Source organism: Homo sapiens, chromosome X (assembly GCF_000001405.40).
Source record: "Homo sapiens chromosome X, GRCh38.p14 Primary Assembly".
NCBI lineage: Eukaryota > Metazoa > Chordata > Mammalia > Primates > Hominidae > Homo > Homo sapiens.
Window position 1 is genome coordinate 24,674,370 of NC_000023.11, and position 25,572 is coordinate 24,699,941.

The 25,572-nt window shown below is 41.6% G+C and overlaps 1 protein-coding gene and 1 pseudogene across 15 annotated transcripts in view, besides 3 other annotated features; both read left to right on the forward strand.

Annotated features, from left to right (window-relative positions):
- Positions 7,567-8,265, forward strand: LOC100288233 (ribosomal protein L23 pseudogene; annotated as a pseudogene).
- Positions 17,518-18,018: an enhancer, noted in NCBI's record as "H3K27ac hESC enhancer chrX:24710004-24710504 (GRCh37/hg19 assembly coordinates)". NCBI's record gives its function as "activates a minimal SCP1, AML or CMV promoter by ChIP-STARR-seq in naive H9 embryonic stem cells {active_cell/tissue: H9 hESC(naive)}" and the evidence as "EXISTENCE:reporter gene assay evidence [ECO:0000049][PMID:30033119]".
- Positions 19,371-19,530: a silencer, noted in NCBI's record as "silent region_20721". NCBI's record gives its function as "represses an Ori minimal core promoter by ATAC-STARR-seq in GM12878 lymphoblastoid cells {active_cell/tissue: GM12878}" and the evidence as "EXISTENCE:reporter gene assay evidence [ECO:0000049][PMID:35858748]".
- POLA1 (DNA polymerase alpha 1, catalytic subunit) overlaps positions 19,549-25,572 on the forward strand; it is a 303,069-nt gene continuing 297,045 nt past the window's right edge. For 11 of the 15 annotated variants that reach the window (NR_165483.1, NR_165482.1, NM_001440806.1 and 8 more), the window contains exons 1-2: positions 19,549-19,635; positions 25,056-25,180. Coding sequence is in view for 12 of the 15 variants with exons in the window: in NM_001440806.1 (NP_001427735.1) it covers positions 19,593-19,635; positions 25,056-25,180 (168 nt within the window). In the remaining 3 variants the exon portion in view is untranslated. Of the gene's footprint in view, positions 19,636-25,055; positions 25,181-25,572 lie in introns of those variants that run through there. The other 4 variants (NM_016937.4, XM_047442180.1, XM_047442183.1 and 1 more) reach the window with 2 other exon arrangements.
- Positions 19,721-19,810: an enhancer, noted in NCBI's record as "active region_29507". NCBI's record gives its function as "activates an Ori minimal core promoter by ATAC-STARR-seq in GM12878 lymphoblastoid cells {active_cell/tissue: GM12878}" and the evidence as "EXISTENCE:reporter gene assay evidence [ECO:0000049][PMID:35858748]".

Below are 25,572 nucleotides of genomic sequence, written 5' to 3' on the forward strand. Positions count from 1 at the left end.
CTGAGGACCCCAAGGAAATAGATGTTATATTTGTATCAGATCTCTCCCTACAGTTGCTGATAGCCCTCACCCTGCAAAGCCTTTCTTCAGATCCAAACAGTTAGCTCTTCTTTCTTCTTCCCTCTTGTGGCTTCCCCTCATCCTCATTCTGTTTGTTTGTTTGTTTGGAGATGAAGTTTCACTCTGTCACCCAGGCTGGAGTGCAATGTCATGATCTGGCTCACTGCAACCTCCACCTCCCAAGTTCAAGTGATTTTCCTGCCTCAGCCTCCTGAGTAGCTGGGATTACAGGCGTGCACCACAATGCCCAGCTAATTTTTGTATTTTTAGTAGAGATGGAGCTTCACCATGTTGGCCAGGCTGGTCTAGAACTACTGACCTCAGGTTATCCACCTGCCTCACCTCCCAAAGTGCTGGGATTACAGGCGTGAGCCACCGAGCCTGGCTGTCCTCATCCTCATCCTCATTCTTTTTTTTTTTTTTTTTTTTTTTTTTTTTTGAGGCAGAGTTTCGATCTCGTTGCCCAGGCTGGAGTGCAATGGTGCGATCTCGGCTCACCACAACCTCTGCCTCCCAGGTTCAAGTGATTCTCCTGCCTCAGCCTCCCTAGTAGCTGAGATTACAGGCATGCGCCACCACACCTGGCTAATTTTGTGTTTTTAGTAGAGACAGGGTTTCACCATGTTGGTCAGGATGGTCTCAAACTCCCAAACTCAGATGATCCACCCTCCTTGGCCTCCCAAAGTGCTGGGATTACAGGCATGAGCCACCGCTCCCAGCCCTCATCCTTATTCTTATCTTGCATAGATGATTCCCCAAAAGAGACTGGGATTGGCCATCAAAGGTAAGCCACACTGTAGAGGTAGGTTCCAAGTAGTGAATTAAAACAGAAAAAAAAAAACAAAAAAACCATACCCAAGTCCTGGGCACATTATTTCCTCCAGATTTATTCACTGGATCCATTAAAATGATGTCCCAACTTGATGGAGCACGAACAGGTCAACTCAAATAGAAAGTTTCTCTGAAACTAACTGAAGCCTGGTTCAGCTGTCAGGAAAAATCACCCACCTCTATTTGCACTTGTTTGCTCTTGTCAGTAATGGAAAAATCACTCTTGTGTCATTAAGGCCCAATGGTTTACAAGAGAGGCATATTTTGAAATTGCTTCTTGCTGTCATACCTTAGAATAACAGTGCATTTGATTATATTTCCAAGCTTCTTGTTTCACATCCCAAAGAAGAATCACTACCAATCTACTCCCTCAGTTAATTCCTGCTTAGAGCAGGTAATTCTTTGTCATGAGCACAAGAAAGGTGAGAGGGTAGGTTTTGATTAATTATGACTATAAAACAAAGATAATGAGGACAGAGTCACCAATACCACTACATAGGCTATTCTCATCACAGACCTAGTTGGGTCAGTAAATCAAGCCGTTTACCCTTGGATTATGGAGGTGTCTGTTATCCAAACACTTATTGGTGGCTTTCTAGGGTCTTCTCTACTTTTGAGAATCTCATGAACTAAAATGGTATCAGGGATTCGTATTGAAAGTTCTGTAGCACTGTGCAGTGACTATAGTTAAGAGAAGTTTACTGCATCTTTACAAATAGCTAGAAGAAAAACTTGCATGTTACCAACACAAAGAAATGATAAATGTTTAAGTGATGGATTTGCTAATTACCCAATTTAATTATTACACATTGCACACATGTATTAAAATATCCCACTGTACCACACAAATACGTACAATTATTATGTGTCAATTATAAATAATAATAATAAAAGATCATTTGCAGCAACATGGATGGAACTGGAGGTCGTTATCTTAAGTGAAACAAGCCAGGCAAAAAAAGACAAATGTTGTACATTCTCACCTATATGTGGGAGCTGAAAAGTTTGATCACACAGAAGTGGAGAGTGGAAAGACAGATAACAGAGACTGGAAAGGGTGAGTGGTGGGAGAGGGAGGATGAAGAGAAGTGGGTTAAAGGGCACAAACATAGGGTTAGATTGAAGGAGTAAATTCAATGTTTAATAACAGAGTGGGGTGACTATAGTCAACAGAAGTGTATTGTACTCAGGTGATGGACACACCAAATACCCTGACTTGACCAATATGCATTATATACATGTAACAAAATTTCACATGTACCCCATAAATTTCTACAAATAAAAAAATTAATAATTTTAAAAGGGAAAAAAGAAAAAAAATGTGTTTTACTCTCTTCTACCACAAGGGGTGCTCCAGAGCTCTGAGAATCGCCCAGCTCCGTATAGTTGGAAATGGGTTGGCAGCAGCAGGTCTCAGCTACCTTGTATGGCACTTTGTGTGAATTAAAAAAAAAAAAAAAGGTACTCCTCTGAGCTGAAGCAGCCCTACGTGGTGAGCCCTATGTAATCTCCCAGTCTGCAGGGAGCCTTTGCAGCCACTGATCCTCAGAGAAAACGGAGTTGTTGAGGAAGCAAACTGTGTTAGCCCCATCACAGGAGATACACACCTGAATTTGGAGGACAAGTATCTTCTCTGGCCAGGGGGTATTCTATGCCAGGAGGGATGGTCAACTAGGCCTCAGCTCCAGAGCTGGTGAACCGTCCTCCTTTTCCACTAATTCCCCAGCAGCATTTTGTTTGCCTTTCTAGTACCTCATCTGTCTGTAGGGGGTGCCCTGAATCATGGACTTGGGCCCCATTTTAAGGGTCCTGCTTTGGCTCTCCTCCTCTGAGGAGTCCATGGGCCAAGGAGACAGGGTGCACATATGGAGACCCCCATCCTCCTTCTAGAACACTCTGGAGTTCTCTGCCCAAATTCCTGAGCCTGCTTCCAGGGCCTGTTTGGCCTCTTCCTCATGGCCACCTTCTCAGGAGTAATCTCACTGCAGAGTTGCACATCTCTAGGCACAAGGGGTGGTCAAGCAAGGGATTGTAGCAGGAGGATGTGAGCAGAACCTGGATATCTAGGCTGGTTCCACCCTGTGGTGGGGAACAGAGAAGGGGCTCTGCTCCCCACCACCTTTCCTGCAAAGAACTCCAAGCCACTTGACCTCCTAGGTCATTAACAAGATATGTTTGTCAAGTTAGGAAGATGGGATGTGTGTGTGTGTGTGTGTGTGTGTATGTGTGTGTGTGTGTGTGTGTGTGTATACACACATATATGTACAGTCTGTTAGCAAGATTTCAAACTTTTAAATATTTAGACCTATGATACATGGGCCTCCATTTATACTCTTGCTCTGACCCCACAAATGTTAGAGGCAAACCCAGCTAGGGATATTTGAAATCACTCTGGAAATGAATGACTTAGCATTTTCTGGTGATTTTAATTATACAGATAATTACAGGTAGATTGTCATTAAAAATCTGATGATCTCTGAATATATGAACAATATGATTTTCTGCATCAAAGTAGCTGAGGGCTAGATTCTGGACTAAGGTGAAATAATCTGCTCTACCCCTAGAGTACTTCTTGGTACAGAGTAGTTGCTTTAAAAATTATTGTCGGCCAGGCGTGGTGGCTCACACCTGTAATCCTAGCACTTTGGGAGGTCAAAATGGGCAGATCACCTGAGCTCAGGAGTTCAAGACCAGCCTGGCCAACATGGTGAAACCACATCTCTACTAAAAATACAAAAATTAGCCAGGCGTGGTGGCATGCACCTATAATCCCAGCTACTCAGGAGGCTGAGGCAGGAGAATCACTTGAACCCAGGAGGCGGAGATTGCAGTGAGCCGAGATCATGCCACTGTACTCCAGCCTGGACAACAGAGCAAGACTCTGTCTCAAAAAAAAGAATAAAATAAAAATAAAAATTATCGTTATGTGAATAAATGAATCCTGGAAGCATTTTGTAACTGCTTCTCATCATTTGCCGTGTGTTTGCTGATTAACTGGGCTGCAGAAACTCCTCTTTGACTGATGACGTTATCCAAGGCTGCTCTGGGGATGTTAGCCCTGAGATGAAATAAAGGAACAGATGAGGAGATGGTAGGCTCCATGGGCCTGGAGGAAAGTGACTACTGATGACTCCCTACCTTTTTGCTTTTTTGGATTTCCTAAAATTAACTATCAACAGTTCTGAAGAAGGAATGCAAAGTATGGATTTTGCATTTCCAAAGTAGGGACTAGAATCATAGTCCATCCACGTGATGCCAAGACATACACAAGTTCAAAAGCAGAATGTAGGTATTTTTGCATATCGCTGTTTCTGTTGGATTTATCAAACATCTACTGTGTGTCAAGCCTGAAGCCAGGTGAAAAATGAAGACAATTACGACAGTATCCACCTTCATGGAATTATAAATCAGTATATGAGTTCTATATTAGTCTGTTCTCACACTGCTGATAAAAACATACCTGAGACTGGGTAATTTGTAAAGAAAAAGAGGTTTAATGGACTCACGTGGAACGTGACTGGGGAGGCCTCACAATCATAGTGGAAGGAGAAAGGCACGTCTTACATGGCAGCAGACAAGAGAATGAGAGCCAAGCGAAAAGGGAAACGCCTTATAAAACCATCAGATCTCATGAGACTTATTCACTACCATGAGAACTGTATGGGGGAAACAGCCCCCATGATTCAATTACCTCCCACCAGGTCCCTCTCACAACACCTGGGAATTATAGGAGCTAAAATTCAAGATGAGATTTGGGTGGGAACACAGCCAAACCATATCAAGTTCTGTTAAATTGAATATCTCCCTGACTTAAATGATCAATTTCATGCCCCAACTCCAAAGCATCACTCTCTTTTCCCCCTTACCCTGCTTTACTTTGTTTTAGAATACCAATTACAAAGGAATATTAATACATTATGTTTATTGGTTTATTGTCTGTCTCTCCCAACAGAATGTAAGGGCAGGGACTTTGCCTCACTGCTGATATCCCCAGTGCCTAGAACAGTGCTTGGCACATATTAAGTGCTCAATAAACATTTTGTGAATGAACAAATGATTTTGGCATTGAAATTGCCCTATTTTCTTCTTCTTCAACATGGCTTTGAGTGGATAGGAGAATAATGCAAAGAAAAACAATCTGATTTCACAACAAGAGATACTCCTGAAAGAACTATTGGCAGATAAATAATGCTAAAGATAGAGATAGGATCTGGAGAACAACTAGTGTCAAAGAAAAATATATGCGTTGAAAAATTGTAGGGAACAACAACGTTCGGAATTTATTAGTTTTCTTTTTAGACACACAGTAGTTTTATTTGCAGTAACTTGGTGAAACAACCCAGTTCCAAGCAAATAAATGTCTTTAAAGTTTGTTGATCCATTAGGCCATTAACAAAACTTCTCTGAGCTGTTGGAGTGATAAGCCAAGCGACTCAGACATTGTTTTCTTTCCCCTACCTCACAACAATTATTTTAATGGATCACTGGCACTTTGCAGACATTTTTCTTACTAATAGAAAAACTCACTTTCTGCTTGGTGTGAAACTGAGTTAGAAGAAAACTGAGCATAATATATTTTGTAGTTGCTTTTACATCTTTCTCGTGACTTTTTGCCATTTGCCAGCAACCCTTGCATGATGCAAGATATCTGTGCTTGACCTGAGAGCCTAACCCATTGTATCTTCCCACCTTCCCCTTTCCTCTTCTCCATTCTCCCATCTACCAAGGCAAAAGAGAGTCTTTACCTTCAAATGTGAATCCTGAAGAAATTGTTGTGTTGGAGGGGCCGCAAGTTAAGGATTTCTAAGAACTTCACCTCCAGATGTTCATGACTGTGGACAATGCAACTGCATCAATTTGTGATTAGAAGAGAAACACACTTAGACATCCAGTGCCATCTATAAGAAACAGGCCCCCACCAGACACTAAATCTGCTGACATCTTGATCTCAAACTTCCTGGCCTCCCAAACTGTGAGCAATAAATTTCTGTTATTTATAAATTACCCAGTCTAAGGTACTTTGTTATAGCAGCCGGGACTGAGACATCCCTCAAATTCATCTATAGATTCAGTGTAATCCCAGTCAAAATTCCCGCAAGAGTTTTGGTAGAAATTGACTAACTGATCATAAAAATTATATGAAAATGCAGACTTAAATTGGCCAAAATAATTTCGAAAAGAAGAACAGTGTTGGAGAACTCAGACTCCCTGATTTTAAGACTTCTATAAGGCTTCAGTAGTTTAAACAATGTGATATTGCCATGAGTATAGACAGATAGGTAAATGGAACAGAATAGAAAATCCAGAAAATAGATCCACGTGTGTGGTAGATTGATTTGCAATAAAATGCCAAGGTACTTCCATGATAAAAACAATCGCCTTTTTAAAAAGTGCACCATTTATAGCAGCATTATTCATAAAAACCAAGAAGTAGAAACAACCCAAGTACCCATTGATGGATGAATGGATAAACAAAATGTGGTATATACATACGATGGAATATTATTCGGCCTTAAAAAGGAAAAGAAATTCTGACACATGCTGTAACATAGATGAACCTTGAGAATATTATGCTAAGTGAAATAAGCCAACAACAAAAATACAAACAGTTTGACTCCACTTATATGAAGTACCTGGAGTAGTAAAATTTACAGAGACAGAAAGTAGAGAGATGATTGCCAGGGGCTAGAGAGAGTGGGGAATGGGGAGTTGTTGTTTAACTGGTATAGAGTTTTGTAAGATAAAAAGCGTTCTGGGCCGGGCGCTGTGGCTCACGCCCGTAATCCCAACACTTTGGGAGGCCGAGCCGGGTGGATCACGAGGTCAGGCGATCCAGACCATCCTGGTAACACGGTGAAACCCCGTCTCTACTAAAAAAACAAAAAAATTAGCCGGGCATGGTGGTGGGCGCCTGTAGTCCCAGCTACTCGGGAGGCTGAGGCAGGAGAACGGCGTGAACCCGGGAGGCGGAGCTTGCAGGGAGCCCAGATCTCGCCACTGCACTCCAGCCTGGGCGACAGTGTGAGACTCCGTCTCAAAAAAAAAAGCGTTCTGGAAATTGGTCACACAACACTGTGAATATACTTAATGCAATTGAATTGTATCCTTAACAATAGTTACAATGATAAATTTTATGCCATATGTATTTTACCACAATAAAAATTAAAAAATAAAAAAGATGCCAGAACAATTGGATATCTAGAAGCAAAAAAAAAAAAAAAAAAAAAAGAAAAAAAAAGAACTGTATCTCACATTATATAGAAAAATGGAAATGAATCATAGACCTCAATGTAAAAGCCATAAAAAATCTAGTATAAAACAGGAGAAAATCTTTGGGTTAGGCAGAGATTTCTTAGATAGGACACAAAAACATGAACCACAAAAAATGGGTACATTGAATTACATCAAAAATAAAAACTTTTACTCTTCAAAGACACAGTTAAGAAAATAAAAAGCGTAAGCCACAGACTGGGAGAAAATATTTGCAAAACACTTATTTTTACAGGATTTTTATTTCAGATGTATAAAAGTTCACAATTTAATAATTAAACAAGTTACTCAGTTTTTTAAAGGGGCAAAATATTTGAACAAAGACTTCATCAAAAAAGGTATACAGCTTTCTGCCTTTTTCCAGCTTTTAAGATATTGAAGGGAGGACGTGATGGGTCTTCCAGTATGAAATTCTGGATTTCCCTGGGTCTTCTGTTAGGAGTGGAATCAACTGTGCTGACAACACAGGAGCTGAAAAATCTGTGTATTTTCTCAGTGAAGGGAATCAAGGGATGGCTGAACAGACTCTCCGCTGCTGGTGTGGGTGATGTGGTGATGGCTACAGTTAAGAAAGGCAAACCACAGCTTAGAAAGAAGGTACACCCAGCAGTGATAATTTTTTTTGTGTGTGTCATGGAATTTCACTTTTGTTGCCCAGGCTGGAGTGCAATGGTGCGATCTCAGCTCACTTGCCACCTCCGCCTCCTGGGTTCAAGCGATTCTCCTGCTTCAGGCTCCTGAGTAGCTGAGATCACAGGTGCCCACCACCACGACCAGCTAACTTTTGTACTTTAGTAGAGACGGGGTTTCACCATATTGGTTAGGCTGGCCTTGAACTCCAGACCTCAGGCGATCCACCCACCTCAGCCTCCCAAAGTGCTGGGATTACAGGCGTGAGCCACTGCGCCTGGTCTAGCAGTGGTAATTTGACAATGAAAGTCTTACCAGATAAAAGATGAAATGCTTCTTTATTTTGAAGATAATGTGGAAGTTATAGGAAATAATAAAGGTAAGATAAAAATTTCTGCTATCACAGGACAGATTGTGAAGGAGGGTGCAGAATTGTGCCCCAGTATTAGATACAGCTCTGGTAGCATTGCATGACTCTCAAGTGTATTTGTCAAAAAAAAAAATTAAAAATTATTTGCTCCCTCCCCTCCAATAAAAGAAGAAGAAGAAGAAGATATACAAGAGATGGTCAAGAGATTTCTGGTTCCAGCTCACACATGTAAAGAGTTTGGAAGTTGTCACTACCATCCTTATATCAAGAAAAAGATGGACAAACTGAATGAAAATTAATGACTTTTCTTAGACTCATAAGATAACTGAGATAGCAGGGCAAACTGCCATCCCCAAATCTAGAGAGACAGGCATATACAGAGAATCACAGTCCAGATCTGCCTACCTGGAGCAGAAGCTGCTGGGGCCATAAACTGGTACGGACACTTAGATGGTAACTTTGATTAATAGCTGGAGGCTGAATGTGGATTAGCATGAGAGTAAGAGACTCCTAGAGGCTGGTATCATGGGAGGGACCGCACATTTTGGTGGGCTTAAGCCCACCAGATTCTCACTGTGAGGATCTGAGGAAGATCTTCGTATTAGTCTGTCCTCACGCTGCTGATAAAGACATAACTGAGACTGAGTAATTTATAAAAGAAGGCGGTTTAATTGACTCATAGTTTCACATGGCTGGGTAGGCCTCACAATCATGGCAGAAGGTGACAGAGGAGCAAAGTCACATCTTACGTGGTGGCAGGCAAGAGAGAATGAGAACCAAGCAAAAGGGGTTTCCCCTTATAAAACCATCAGATCTTGTGAGACTTATTCACTACCATGAGAACAGTATGGGGGAAATCACCCCCACGATTCAATTCTCTCCCACCAGGTCCCTCTCACAACACGTTGGAATGATGGGAGCTACAATTTAAGATGAGATTTGGTGGGGACACAGCCAAATGGTATCAATCTTCTAGGGGGACCTGCCAGGAAAAGAGGAAGAGTAGCCAATTGGGAAACATTTCCAGAATCTTCTCCATCACAAAAGTCCACTCTCCAGCCAGGCGTGGTGGCTCACACCTGTAATCCCAGCACTTTGGGAGGCTGAGGCAGGTGGATCACCTAAGGTCAGGAGTTTGAGAACAATCTGGCCAACATGGTGAAACCTCATCTCTACTAAGAATACAAAAAATTAGCCAGGCATAGTGGTGGGTGCCTGTAATTTCAGCTACACAGGAGACTGAGGGAGGAGAATCGCTTGAACCCAGGAGGCAGAGGTTGCAGTGAGCTGAGATGGTGCCACTGCACTCCAGCCTGGGCAATAAGGGTGAAACTCTGTCTCAAAAAAAAAAAAAAGTCTAGTCTTCCAGGGGGAAAGACCGTCAGACTGTCAGAGGGCAAGACTTCGTCAAAAGGAGATACTGAAACATTATTCTATTTGAGGGAAGGGAATTTCAGCCCTCTCCAGTCTTCCTGTCTCACCTAAGGAAAAATGAAAATAACCATAGTCAACAGGGTGCAACATCTTGAGAAAATGCATTGGAAGTGCTGCAGTCAGGGAAAGGAGCAGGAGGATACTATCAAAAGGTGTAATATATGCATAATTGGAATACCAGTAGAAGAAAGAGAAAATAGGGTAGAAAAAAATATTCGAAGTAATGATATGGCCATGAACTTTCCAAATAATATATCATTAAGATGATAGACACAAAACCACAGATCCAGGCAGCTCAGAGAACACCAAGCAGGATATATACCAAAACCAAACCAAAACAAAAAACAGGGATATCATATTCCAACTGTAGAAAATCAAGACAAAGTGAAAATCTTGAAGGAAGTTGGAGGATGAAGAAAAACTTTACTTATAGAAGAATGAGGATAAGAATTCTAGTAGACTTCTCATCAGAAACTAGGCGAGCAAGAGGACAGTGGAGTGAAATCTGTAAAGTGTTGAAAGAAAAAAACCTGCCAACCTAGAATTCCATATCCAGGGAAATTATCCTTCCAAAGAGAAAGAGGAAGATGTGTTTAAAAGCAATTTGTGGAATTTAAGAACTATAACAGATTCTTGTTTAATTGTTTAAAATAAAAGCAAGATGAGAATTGAAAATCTGAAAGCAATTCTTGGCAATGATCAGAAATATTCTTGACTTCACTTATTCTGATTTTGATGACATATAAAGCCCAGAGAACAAAGAATGTTGTGTGGAAAAATATGTAGACCGATCTTTGTTTTAATTCCCATTATTGTGGATATGTAATAAATCTTTTTATGTTTTTCAAGTTTAATTGTGTGTAATTTGTTGTTTTCATTTTTATCATCTTTTGTGGAATTTTGAAATATCAATACAAAAAACGTTATGCCATCTATGAAAGTTTTTCATTGTTTCTAATGCTATTTAGATCCTGTCCATCTATTTAATATCAAAAGACTGAATCCTGTTTAACGATTGCTAAATTTTTCAGTGTTTTAGATAATTACCATTTTTGAGTGATTAATCTCCTGTAGGAAATGAAATACTGTTTACAATACAGTCACTCTTTTCTTTTAAAATGCTGATTTGAAATAACTTCTCATTATATGTATGGTCTTAAAAAATAAAGCGGCCAAAGCACAAAAAAATAGTGAAAGAGGAATAAAGACTTTTCTCAGGCAAACAAAAACTGAGAGAATTCATTGCCAGCAGGCTTCCGCAAATGTTTAAAGAAGTTCTTTAGGTAGAAGGAAAATGATATAAATCAGAAATTAGGATCTACATAAAGAAAAGGAGCACGTCAGAGAAGAGATAAATGAAGGTAAAATAAAATCTTCTATTTTTCTTATTCTTAATTGACCTAAAAGATAACTGTTTAAAGCAAAATAGTAAAAATGTATTGGCTGATTATAGCATATGGCATATGGATAAGTGAAATGAATGACAGTAACGTCACAAGGGATGGGAGGGAGGAATTGGGAATAGTCAGTTAAAAGGTACCTGCACTATGGTGCTAATTTAGAAGTGGACTCAGATTATTTTTTAAATGTATATTGTAAACCACAGGGCAACTAAAAAGAGGCATATATAATATGCTAAGAGATGAGATAAAATGGAGTCATATAAACTGCTCCATTAAAACCAGAGAAGTGGAAAAAGAGAGGTAAAAAGAAATAGAACAGGGCTGGGCATGGTGTCTTATGCCTGTAATCCCAGCACTTTGGGAGGCCGGGGCTGGTGGATCACCTGAGGTCAGGAGTTCGAGACCAGCCTGGCCAACATGGTGAAACCCTGCCTCTACTAAAAATACAAAATTAGCCGGGCATGGTGAGACAAACTTGTAATCCCAGCTACTTGGGAGGCTGAGGCAGGGGAATCGCTTGAACCTGGGAGGCAAAGGTGGCAGTGAGCCAAGATCGCACCATTGCACTCCAGCCTGGGCAACAAGAGTGAAACTCCATGAAAAAGAAAGAAAAGAAATGAAAAGAAACAAAAGGAAGGAGAGAGAATAACCTCAGTGAAGCAAAAGCAGTTACAAATGACCAATAAGCACATGCCAGGGATAGTGGCTCATGCCTATAATCCCAGTCTTTTGGGAGGCTGAGGTGGGAGGATCACTTTAGGCCAGGAGTTCAAGACTAGCCTGGGCAACATAGCAAGACCTCGTCTCCATAAAAAATTTAAAAATTAGCCAGGCATAGTGGCACATTCCTGTAGTCCCAGCTACTTGGGAGGCTGTGGTCAAAGAATTGGTTGAATCCAGGAGTTTGAGGCTGCAGTGAGTTATGATTGTACTGCTACACTCCAGCTTGGGCAATAGAGTAACCAAGAGGCAGACTCTGTCTCTTAAAAAAATAAAATAAATAAATAAATAAATAAAGCAGGCGATTGTAAAACAAACTCTCAATGTGCTTGAACTACTAATAACTAATTGAGCAAACTTGTCTTAGTGGTAGGAATTATTCAATAAGTAGTTAGGGACTAAGGGAAATGAAATATAAGTTGTCTTTACTATTGAAGGAACGAGGAGGGCAATATGATGAAGCAACAATTGATGACTGCTTGAACTAAAATAACTTTCTGGCCAGGTGCAGTGGCTCATGCCTGTAATCCCAACAGTTTCAGTATTAAACTCCTTGAGGCCAGGAGTTTGAGACCAGCCTGGGCAACAAAAGTGAGGCCCCCATCTCTGTGAAAAATTTAAAAATTAGCCAGGCACGGTGGCACACACCTGTGGTTCTAGTCAATCAGGACGCTGAGGTGGGAGGATCACTTGAGCCCAGGAAGTCGAGGCTGTAGTGCGCTATGATTGCATCACTGCAGTCCAGTCTGGGTGATGGAGTGAGCGTTGTCTCCAAAACAACAAAAATTGATTCCCTAAATCCAAACCACAGAGATGCTGTCAGACTGTGATTTCTATTGATGATAGATGCTTAATGACAGGGGTGGGATCTTTTGTATTATTATTATTTTTATTATTTTTGAGATGGAGTCTTGCTCTGTCGCCCAGGCTGGAGTACAGTGGTGCGATCTCGGCTCACTGCAACCTCCACCTCCTGGGTTCAAGCAATTTTCCTGCCTCAGCCTCCCCAGTAGCTGGGGTGTGTGCCACCACGCTCAGCTAATTTTTGTATTTTTAGTAGAGACAGGGTTTCACCAGGTTGGCCAGGCTAGTCTCAAACTCCTGACTTCAGGTGATCCACCGGCCTCGGCTTCTCAAATTGCTGGGATTACAGATGTGAGCTGCCACGCACAGCCCAGAGATGTATTTTTGAAGGTCAATCCTCATAAGGAGGTCCCCTGAGTAGGGAAGGTGTGTCTGTGAGATTGGGGTCTGGGAGTGCCAAGTGCTGGCTGGTTCTAGGGAAAGCTTCTTTGGGTTACCCTCCTCGGTCCCAGGGTCCAAGGTCCTGTCTTCAGTGTTGTGGGTATTGACTGGATTTCCTTAGGACACCCAGAGATGGTCTCTTGAGTTTCAGGAGAGTTGCGTGTCTTCTCTTATTACCCAGAATCTTTGTGGGATGCTGAGAGCATATCCAGGCCCTCTCACTGCTGGCCTCTTTTCAGCTAGCAGACAATCCTCTCTCCACAGCTACATATAAACAACACTACCTCGTTGGGCTCAGAATCTTTGGATGGCCACAAAGCCGATCTTCATACCCACAGACAATCAGGCTCAAAGGCCAGATTCATGCTAACAAACGCACATGGATATTGAAACCAGAGTGCTACTTTACTGCTTTGCCATGAGAAATACACCTGGCAGATGTGCCAGAATATAATCCAGTTGGCTGGTTTTCCCCCAGTTTAGGGGAAAAAAAATCTAGTTTACCAGAAGCAAGATTGCTTGACGAGTAGAAAATCATTGCAAGGGAAGTTGTTTTTGCTCACTGTCTTATCCCTAGGGCCTTGAATAGTGCCAGAAAATAGTAGGCACTCAATAAACATTTGTTAAATGAATGATTTTCGTCAACGTTTTCATGTGTTTAACTGTTACTGCTATTGAGAGAAGATACTCATTTAGGTCAGGCGTGGTGGCTCACGCCTGTAATCCCAGCACTTTGGGAGGCTGAGGCGGGTGGATCATCTGAGGTCAGGAGTTCGAGACCAGCCTCGCCACCATGGTGAAACCCCATCTCTACTAAAAATACAAAAAAAATTAGCCAGGCATGGTGGTGCACGCCTGTAATCCCACCTACTTGGGAGGCTAAGACAGGAGAATTGCTTGAACCTGGGAGGCAGAGGCTGCAGTGAGCCGAAATCGCACCACTGCACTCCAGCCTGGGCAACAGAGCAAGACTCTGTCTCAAAAAAAAAAAAAAAAAAGATACAATACTCATTCATCAGAGACAGACAATGGAAAAAAAAAGTTCCTGCTTTGGAGTTAGACAAATAAGAGGCTTGATCTCCATCTGCTACTTACTTTTTGAGTTTCCATTTCTTCATAAATAAAGTATAATTTATAGAATTAGGTCTACTGAATACAATAGAAAAAATAAAAAACAGTGGCTTTAAATATGACAGATGTTTACTTTTCTCTCATGTAGAAGTCTGGGGGTAGACAGCTCAGGGATGGTATGGTGACTTAATGGATGTTAGGGACCCAGGCTCTTATTCTGTTCCACCATCTCACTGTGGGGACTTTCATTTCCACAGTTATCTCGTGATACAAGACGGCTGCTGGAGCTTAAACCATCACATCTGTGTTGCAGGAAGAAAGAGAAAAGAGAAAAAGCAGAAAGGCAAAAAAGAGTCCCCTTTCAGATCTACCAGAATACTTTTTTTTTTTTTTTTTAACTTTTAGGTTCAGGTACATGTGCAGATTTGTTATATGGGTAAGTAGCATGTCACGGGGGCTTGGTGTACAGATTATTTCATCATCCAGGTAATAAGCATAGTACTTCATAGGTAGTTTTTGATCCTCACCCTCTACCACACCCCACCCTCAGTTGGTGCCAGTAACTGTTGTTCCCTTCTTTGTGTCCATTTGTACTCAATGTTTACCTCCCACTTATAAGTGAGAACATGTGGTATTTGGTTTTCTGTTCCTATGTTAGTTCGCTTAGGATAATGGCTTCCAACTCCATCCATGTTGCTGCAGACGTGATCTCATTCTTTTTTTTTTTTTTTTTTTTGAGACAGAGTCGTGCTCTGTCGCCCAGGCTGGAGTGCAGTGGTGCGATCTCGGCTCACTGCAACCTCTGCCTCCTGGGTTGAAGTGACTCTCCTGGTTCAGCCTCCTGAGTAGCTAGGATTATAGGTGCCCGCCACCATGCCTGGCTAATTTTTGTATTTTTAGTAGAGATGGGGTTTTGCCATGTTGGCCAGGCTGATCTCGAACTCCTGACCTCAGGTGATCTGCCCACCCAGAGTGGCCTCCCAAAGTGTTTGGAATACAGGCGTGAGCCACTGCACCTGGTTTCTTTTTTATGGCTGTAAATTAGTTCCACCATTGTGGAAGACAGTGTGGTGATTCACATAAAAGTAGAAGTCTAAGAATCAAACCCTAAGTCTGACTCTACCTGAGTCTTTAATCCTTCCAATATAATATTAAAGAGGACAAATTATAAACAAAAAGAGTCTATAATTCTATCATCCTGGCAAAATATACTCCATTTTGCATATTGCTTTCAGGTAAATAACTGTTTGATATATCATTGCAAATAAGTGTGGGTATGTATCACTTTGCCCTCTGTGGTTTTCACTTTCTGAAATATCATAAACATTTTTCATATTTTGAGTCTTTCTAATCATTTTATCTTTTTGATGTCACAACATTAAACCTTTGTTATGATGTGGACTTTTAGGTCCCAACTTTTTGCTAATGGAAAACAGCAGCCATTAACGTCTTTGCATTTTTTGTTTCTATTATTTCTTATTAAACTTTTACCTGTGGAAATAAAGGGTTGAAAGATACAAGTATGTTTACGGTACTTGTCACATATTGCAATATTATTTTCCAAAAGATTGTGCCAACTTACACTGCCACCTGTAATAAATGAGTTGTGCCTCAACACTGTAAGCTTACCAGCAATGGATAACATTTATATATAGAGAAATGTACAGATAAAAAGGGGGAAAATGGTGGAACATAGTATCTCAGTCTCAGTTTGCTTTACTTTGTTTATAAGTTAAAAAAAAACCTTTAAACTTGCAAAACTGGTCCTGGACAGGAGAGAGGAAGTTTAAGACAAATTATGATTTTTTTGCATGATTAGATAACAGAGGTAGGTTTACAGTAAAGCTGCTGAAACTTAATCTCCAGGGCCTCTCATTTGCATATTGGCCACTTGCAAGGCTCTGGGAGATGTTCTAGCAATGGTTTTATGTTTTTGTAAACATTTGCAAAAGTAAGATATTTCATTTTATTTATTTGTTTATTTTAAGATAGTATTTGTCATATTTATTTGCTCCATTTATTCTAAAACAACCCTGGCTCCCTCCTTCATTCCCATCTAATCTACCCCAATCCTTTTTATTAATATTATTACTTAATTAATTGTTTATGTGAATGAGTTCTTTAGTGGTGATTTCTGAGATTTTGTTGCACCTATCACCTGAGCAGTGTACACTGTACCCAATGTGTAGTCTTTTATCCCTCACCTCCTTCTCACCTTTCCCAGAGTCCCCATTGTATCATTCTTATGATACAATGAGTCCATTGTATCATTCGTATGCCTTCGGATACTTGTAGCTTAGTTCCCACTTACGAGTAACACACAATGTTTGGCTTTCCATTCCTGAGTTACTTCACTTAGAATAATGGTCTCCAATTCCATCCAGGTTGCTGCGAATGTCTTTATTTCATTCCTTTTTACTGCTGAGTAGTATTCCATGGTGTGTGTGTGTGTGTGTGTGTGTGTGTGTGTGTGTGTGAGATATATACACACACACATATGTATATATACACATATCTCACTTTTTTTAACCTACTTGTTGATTAATGGGCATTTGGGCTGGTTCCATATATTTGCAATTATAAATTGTGCTGCTGTAAACATGCGCGTGCAAGTATCTATCATGTATAATGACTTCTTTTCCTCTGGGTAGATACCCAGGAGTGGGATTGCTGGATCAAATGGTAGATCTACAAAAGTAAGATATTTTAGCTGCAATCAGATATGACTACTTTCCACTTGGTGGTTTGCTGGTAAACCTTAAAAAAATAAAAAGCTCTGATTTGTACCACTTGCCAATTTCCAGGGTGTAAATATTCCCACCATGACTGATTTCAAGCTACCAACAGTTTAACATGGAGATTACAAAATACTGGAATATTTAACAATCAGCTCTTGAGAACCTCCAACTGTCCCTCTGATACACTTCGCTTCTTGCATAGTAGCAGTGAAATAGGCATAGGCATTTTGGGATTCCACTATGGGGAAATGGAGTTGATATTGCATTTAGTTTGGGCTTATTTCTTCTATTTATGTGGGTCGAAGGCACTTAACCCACATATATACTTAAGCCATATATACTTAAGTTATTGATAGACTTTTTTTTTTTTTTGAGACAGAGTCTCACTCTGTCACCCAGGCTGGAGTGCACTGGCACAATCTCGGCTCACTGCAACCTCTGCCTCCCGGGTTCAAGCTATTCTTCTGCCTCAGCCTCCCAAGTAGCTGGGACTACAGGCGCCTGTCACCACACCCGGCTAATTTTTGTATTTTTGGTAGAGATGGGGTTTCATCATATTGGTCAGGTTGGTCTTGAACTCCTGACCTCATGATCTGTCAGCTTCGGCCTGCCAAAGTGCTGGGATTACTGGCGTGAGCCACAGCGCCGGGCTGTTATTCATAGACTTCTTGGTGTAGGAATAGCTTCCAGGAATATTTCTACCCCAGTGTGATGACTTACCAGGAGTTTTGAACTGAAAGTGTAGGGCCAGAAGACATATCATGGTATGAAAGTGTCTGGCCTGGCATGGTGGCTCACACCTGTAATCCCAGCACTTTGGGAGGCTGAGATGAGTGGATCACCTGAGGTCAGGAGTTCAAGACCAGCCTGGACAACATGGTGAAACCCCATCTCTACTAAAAATACAAAAATTAGCCAGGTGTGGTGGCGGGCGCCTGTAATCCCAGCTACTCGGGAGGCTGAGGCAGTAGAGTCGCTTGAACCTGGGAGGTGGAGGTTGCAGTGAGCCGAGATGGTGCCACTGCATTCCAGCCTGGATGACAGAGCGAGACTCCATCTCAAAAAGAGAAAGTGTCCTACAGGTCTTTTCCCACAAAGTATGTGGGTCATTGTCTCAGTCTGTTCAGGCTGCTATAACAAAATACCACAAACTGGGTGGCTAATAAACAACAGGAATTTATTTTTCACAGTGCTGTAGGCTGGGAATTCCAAGATCAAGGTGCCGGCAGATTCAGTGTTTGGGGTAGGCCCACTTTTTGGTCCATAGATGGTGCCTTATTGCTCTGTTCTCACATGGAAGAAGGGGCAAGGCAGCTCTCTGGAGCCTCTTTTCCGAGGGCACTAATCCTATTCATGAGGGAGGGTTCCTGCTGATGACCTAATCACCTCCCAGAGGCCCTACCTCCTAACACCACCACACTGGTGATTAGGTTTCAACGCATACATTTTATGTGGAGAGAAACATTCAGACCACAGCAGTAGTGAAAGAGAAAAGAGGTTTGAAATGCCTAGAGTTATACCCGGGCATGTGGGAAGTAATCAGCTGTGAAATTGTTAAGGTAAGGATTTGGTTCTTATTAATGACTAGCCAACATGGTTCTCTCCTGGTTGGAAAAAGCTTGATAATAAAACTATAAAACTTCCATCAGTTTTTAAAAGGGAAGTGTAGGAATAAATCTGTCGTAGTACTTTAAATAGGAAGTTATGTCTAAGTGTAAATTACTACATGTTATGTATCACAACATATGGATCACATAACATGATATTAAATGATTATGAAGCTGAAAGACATTTTCTAAACAATCAGAAATTAAGAAACAAGTATTGATCAACCATGCTAGAAGACAGATTGAATTATCTTTATATCCTCTTTGGAGAAAATATTACAAAATTGTTGTCACATGAAGAAGGGATCAATAAGCATGTGGGCAATAATGTAGGAAAAAATACAAATGTGTGGCAGGCATTATTTAATAAAAATGTTATACCTTTTTGGAAAGAGATAACATGAGATGTACACATTACAGCCATTGTATCATACACAAAAATTGAATACCCTTTTTGTTTTTCATAACATTGAAATTTTGGAGTTCACGTCAGGTGTTTTGTAGATTGTCCTACATTTTGAATACATCTGATTGTTTCTTCATGGTTAGATTCAGGTTAGACATTTTTTGCAAGAAGACCATATAGGCGAAGTTTTTCCTTTTTCATACGCATTACATCAGGAGGCATATGAGATCAGATGGCCATTTATTGGTAATGCTACTTCTGGTTATTTGGTTAAGACGGAGCATATATCTTTAAGTTGTTAATCACACAGCCACTGTATCCAGACTGCTGAGAAGCAAACTATCAGGCAAAATTCAGGGCGCGCAGCAGGAGGCAGTCGCTTTCCCGGCTCTGGGGAAAACGATCCAACCACGCCCACTCTCCTGCCCGCCCGCGCCTCCTTTCCGGGAAAATGGGCTCTGAGAACCAGAGCGCCCTTTCTCCCACGCGCCCAAATCTTTTCCCATCAGCATGCGTGCGCTTGCGCAGTCTCCAGGCGGCTCCTTTCCAGCGCCCGACCGCTTCTTTCTCCTGCTCTCCTCCGGCTTCCCCTCAGCTCTAGCTTTTCCCTAAGGGGTCATCACAGGGCGCCAAACGCGCGTCCGCGGGAAGGCCGGGGGCGGAGCGCGGCGCGGCGCGGCACGTCAGTGGCCTTCCGGCCGGAAGTCCGCAGCCTCCCGAGCCGCTGATTGGCTTTCAGGCTGGCGCCTGTCTCGGCCCCCGCGCCAGTTTTGGGCTGGTTGGCGCGGAATCGGGAGATTCGGGACCATGGCACCTGTGCACGGCGACGACTGTGAGATAGGGGCGAGTGGTGAGGGACAATTCCGCGCGCGGGGCTCCGGGTTGGGACAGTGGCATGATTGCCGGTGGTGGGGGTTCTGAGGGAGGCGCACACCCGGGTTTGTTTGGGCGCAGACCTTGGTCGTCCCCGGCGGGGGCCCTTCTGGCGTCGGACCGGGCTTCCTTTAGGCGCGGTTTGCTCTTGGAGGACCAGAGCCTGGAGGGATTTTTGTTTGGGAGGCTGTCTCACCTCTGCCACTGAGAGTCTCCACAGTCGATTGCGTTTCTATTTCTTTTGGTGAGTTGCACCCACGTGCTGGGTATAACTTTATTGAGACTGGCCCCGTGGGGCCGAAAGTATTTCACTGCGATCTCCCTAAGTATCCACTTGAAGGCTTGAACAGAACAGATCTGTGTCCCTTTTTGTAGGAACTTCCAGGAAAATTTTATACATTGTAACTAAGCAGGAAAGAAAGCTCTAAGTGCTGTCATCGGGGAATAACGCGTTTTGTATTTTTAGGTAATGGGTTTCTACTTTATGCATTAACAATTTTTCTTTCAGATTCTTTGGAAAGTTCTTCAAGTGCTGCGTAGAAATCCTGTTCACAATCTAGTCATTCCTGGTGAAGTTTCAAAAAAATGGCATCAATTTAGGGCATTTCGGATCCCCTGTATATCACTCCGTTTGTCAGGGGTGTCTTTTATTTCCAAAAATAGAATACAAAAATGCAAATAGATTTGTCTGATTTTTTAAGTGTTCAACTAAAGCGTGACTTCAGTTAACTTCTAACTTAAAATCAGATGCTTCACTTTGTTAGCTCAAGCGTCACCTCTCCTGTCATTCAGATACATCACCATTAATGAGAACTCGCTTCCTAATCAGCTTCCTTTGCATTCACCTAGTTGTGAGTCACAGATTTCAATTTGTTCTAGCCGTTCGTTTTTTAAGACTATTTTGGAGAGTCGACCTGCCTGGATTACAGATAGGATGTTGGGTGTAAGTATGTGAACGAACAGTCTTTGCAGGCCTCTATCAGTGATTTGCCACTAAGCCCTTTCTTCATCCTAAAAACTACGTCATCTATGAACATCAGGAAATCACTTTGGAGGATACTGTGCAATCTTGAGACTCCTCTTAGGTCATGGTGTTCATTAAGTAGTTGCTGGGGACTTGTGACTGGAATTTTTCCTTTAGAGCAGACTGAAGGATTGTTACCTGAAAGACTGCTGTAAGCTAGTGTCTGTCTGCTTTTGGGGAGGATAGAGATACTCCAGATGGTAATTTTGAAACAAATATTTAAACCTTTGTAGCTGGATTTTTTTCATGCTTATTCTTTTTTTGCTAAGTTACCTACGTGAAGCATTGGAGACATACTCCAAAAAACAAAATGTAGGCTTTTTTTTTTCTTCAGTATTAGCAGGCAGGGCACCTTGATAATGGCAGTGAAAAGTTGAAAGGTCTGTAACTAGCTGTTACTATATATGAAAAAAGATCAGGGAATTTTTATTTATTTATTTATTTTTGAGACAAAGCTTCCCTCTTGTTGCCCAGACTGGAGTGCAGTGACGTGATCTCAGCTGGCTGCAACCTCTGCCTCCTGGGTTCAAGCAGTTCTGCCTCAGCCTCCCGAGTTGCTGGGATTACAGGTGCCCACCACCACACCGGCTAATTTTTTGTATTTTCAGTAGAGACAGGGTTTCACCATGTTGGCCAGGCTGGTCTTGAACTCCTGATGTCAGGTGATCCACCTGTCTCTTCCTCCCAAAGTGATGAGATTACAGGCATGAGCCACTGCGCCCGGCCAGGGAAAGTTTAATGATCAAAAAAGCAGGTACAGTGGTTCATTCATTGGTTCATTCAGCAAATATTTATTATATACCTACTAGGTATAAGCCTTCTGCCAGGCTCTGGCATTATGATGGTGGGTAGGCTGGACATGGTTTGTCTTCATGAAGTACAGATGGTAAACATCTAATCATATGCAGAAAACGGCTTTGCTTTGTTTTTGCCTTCTAAAGCTAGACCTTGGTACTCTTAGGTATGGTGTGTGTGGGGTATGTGGATGTGTGTTTGACTTCACACGCGGAAGCGTTACATGAGCCGCTCCTATATTGCTAAGTGCAAAGTAAGATAGGCATCTTCATGTAATCCTTAACAGATTTTGAAGCAGACATGATTATCCCCATTTCACAGATGTGGACCCTGAGGCTCTGCATCAGTCAGAGCCCCTATCTGTAAGCTGCAGGAACCAACTCTACCAGATTGGTTAGAATTTGTTAGAAGAATATTGTGTTCACAGAAACTCCAGGAGGACTAGTAAGCCAGTCTGGGAGCTGTTTAGCCAGGAACAGTGAGTGAAATTGTGCCACAAAAATGGGCCAGTGAGGAGGTCATTGCCAACCACGAGCAAGTACTTGATGCTATAGCTCATACCTTAGGACATTGCTGACATTGTTGCCGGTTTTGTAATCCTTCTGCAGCTGTTGCTACTTGTAGAATCTTTTAAAACCCATGCCCCCTTCCTTGTGACACTAGCTTCTGATTTAATGTCTGAGCAGGTGTTCCTAATCGGTAGCGCCTATTTTATATGCCCATGCTCTAGGCTGCAAGGGTGTCTGGGAAAGAGCATCAACCTTTTCAGCTTCTGTAATGGGGCATAGGCTCTGCGTCTCATCAAGACTTATAAGGGATGGGGGCCGGATTTCACAAACAGTTTCAGATGCTAGGCTGCTTTAAATAACAAGACACCTGTCTGCTGCTTAACTGGTTAACCGGTGTTCTCATGTCACCCAGTAAATGGCAGAGCTGGAATGTGCTGCTTCTCCCTAACCTGGTTCTCCTACTCACTCTACACTCCCTTGTCGAATTTACCTTGCACACTGAGTTCTCTCAGTTTCTGAATACACTATGCATTTTCATCCCTTTGTAATTTGGCTCATGCCTCTTCTTTTGCTTGTGCCACTTTTTACTTTGTTCTCTGTGAAATTTGACTCCTTTTTCTAGGCCTGTATTGGAAACCTCTCCTGTGAAGCCTTCCTTGATTTTCCAGGCAAAATTAACAGCTCTCTCCTCTGTACATTTCCTCAGTACTGAGTTCTTACCTTTTCTATGGCACCATGTTTATATTGTGATGGTAATTTCAGGTACTTTGCTTTACTTGACTGGGGGCCTCTTTTGGACAGGCAGCTCTGTCTTATTTGTGATTGTACCCTAAACCCTGTGTAGTGGAACATTGTTGCCTGTGTAGTGGGACGTTGCCTGTGTAGTGGAACATTGTTGCCTGTGTAGTGGAACATTGTTGCCTATGGAGTAAGTGCATTTGAAGACCTACAGATGTCAGGCATCAAGGGAGTCTTGAGGGGAATCGCTTTTCACTTTCAGGGGTCATGTTCAGTAATCTTCAAAGCCTTTTCATGTAGGCCTGTTCACGATTTTTGAAATCATTTGAGTGACATCCAAGTTTTTGTGGCTGTCATCATTAAGTACCTTTATTCCTTAATTTTTACTTAATGTCTTTCTGAAAATGGATTTAAAAGTCAAATGTGAAAGTCAAACAATAGAGTGTGATATTATAAAGAGAGATTCCATTTCTAGAAAGCTAGAAAAAAATAAGATCTCTAATTATGCCTTACCTTTAGGCTATAGTTTCCAGCAGTTTATTGCCAGCATTTGGTACATGTTCTTTAAATTGTATCTTCTATTTCAGTCAAACACTTAGTCAAGCAGCTTAATGTTGTTATGAACATTCTAGTGGGGTTGGAGTTTTAGGCTGCCTCTTATCCATACTTCTTTTCTTTGCCTGCTCCTTTTTATAAATTAATTAGCACCAAACACAGTAAAATACTAGATTTCACAGACATAGATGGCAATCATGCTGAGCCTAAACTCGTAGTTGACAGGCAGCACTGTTATGCTTGACTTAGTTTTTCATCAGTGGGTATGTGAAAGTCTTTAATTCTGTGGATGAATTTTTTTTTTTTTTTTTGAGATAGAGTCTCGCTCTGTCACCCAGGCTGGAGTGCAGTGGTGCAATCTCGGCTCACTGCAACCTCCATCTCCTGGGTTTAAGGGATTCTCCTGCCTCAGCCTCCTAAGCAGTTGGGATTACAGGTGCCTGCCATCACACCCAGCTAATTTTTGTATTTTTAGTAGAGTTGGGGTTTCACCATGTTGGTCAGGCTGGTCTCAAACTCCTGACCTCAGGTGATCCACCCACCTCAGCCTCCCAAAGTGCTGGGATTACAGGCGTGAGCCACTGCATCCGCTTGAATTTTTTTCAGTGTGTGTGTGGAACGGTCAGTTTATGATGATCGGAGCATGAATAATTCAAAAGTTGAATGAATAAACGCTGAAGTCCTCTGATATTTCAGTAATTTTTGACAAACCATTTAAGTCCCTGTAGTTGTTTTAGTAATGTCCTGTGTCATAACCAACTGAGGCCTTGAAATAAGTGATATACCAATAATCCCCTCAGAGCCATCTTTGTTAAATTTCTCCAGCCCTCAATCTGTTCCTTCTTTGAATTTCCGGGTGCTTTGGCTGAATCTCTTTTAAGGCATTTATTATCTCTAAATATTGTTTAGAGCCAGTTGCTACTTGTCTCCCATGTTAGATAGTAAGTTCTGTGAGTACAGAGACCATGTCTTTTTTATCTTTTTTTGTTGTTGTTGTTTTTTGTTTTTGTTTTTTGTTTTTTGAGATGGAGTTTCTCTCTTTTTGCCCAGGCTGGAGTGCAATGGTGCGATCTCAGCTCGCTGCAGCCTCCGCCTCCCGGGTTCAAGTGTTTCTCCTGCCTCAGCCTCCCAAGTAGCTGGGGTTACAGGCATGCACCATCATGCCTGGCTAATTTTGTATTTTTAGTAGAGATGGGGTTTCACCATGTTGGCCAGGCTGGTCTCGAACTCCTGACCTCGGGTGATCTGCCTGCCTCAGCCTCCCAAAGTGCTGGGATTACAGGTGTGAGCCACCACGCCCAGCCTGTCTTTGTGTCTCATAGTGCCTAGTACTTTGCAAAGAGTAGATGCTCCTTGAAGCCTTTTAGATATTGATTGACAGATTGCAAAATGAATAGTGCTTTTATAACCCACTGGATTACTTCTGGCTGGTCATTTCTAATGGAAAGGTGATAAATTAGCTAACAGCTGATCTCCCTTGTTTAGTGTCTCCGCAGGATATCAGTTGAATTGGGAATTTTCCTCTTTTTAGAGAAAAAAATAACAGTGACTTTAATTGTTTTAACAGGATCTTGGAGGAACTTTCTGGCGAGTCATGTATATTTGGATATGTATGTTTGGCCATGAGCTTTGTGAATTATTTACATTATAAACATTATCTACTTGTATATTACTAAAATTGTATGTTATTGTTGGCTAGAAACTTTTCCTTTGTGTTTGAGGGAAGATGGCTGACAATTTTGTAACATCTGTTGTAAATTTTTTTTCTTTTTTCAGCTCTGTCAGATTCAGGGAGTTTTGTATCTTCTCGAGCCCGGCGAGAAAAAAAATCAAAGAAGGGGCGCCAAGAAGCCCTAGAAAGACTGAAAAAGGCTAAAGCTGGTGAGAAGTATAAATATGAAGTAAGTAACCATTTTTCTTCTTTATTCTTCCTGTGCATCATCTAATTCATAGCCTGCAGGTAGTCTTATGTCACCTTTGCCCCAGATTAGAAATACTCATATATTTTAAACTTTTTGTAATGGGAATTTATTAGTATTGGACAAGCATGGGTATGAGGTAGATTTACAGATCATGGAGAATGTTCGACCCTTAAAGTTCCTATAAGGTATTTTAAAGATGATTTTAAAATTCCAAAATGAAAGTACATAGTCATATCTATATTTTTCCTTATTGAGCATGCTGTATCTATGGTAAGTCCCATGGGTTTGTTGGGGTCATTTAGAGATGCTTTTACTTACTCTTAAGGTATTGAGCAGTCTAAGTGCTACTTCTTGGAGAGAACTGTTCTTCC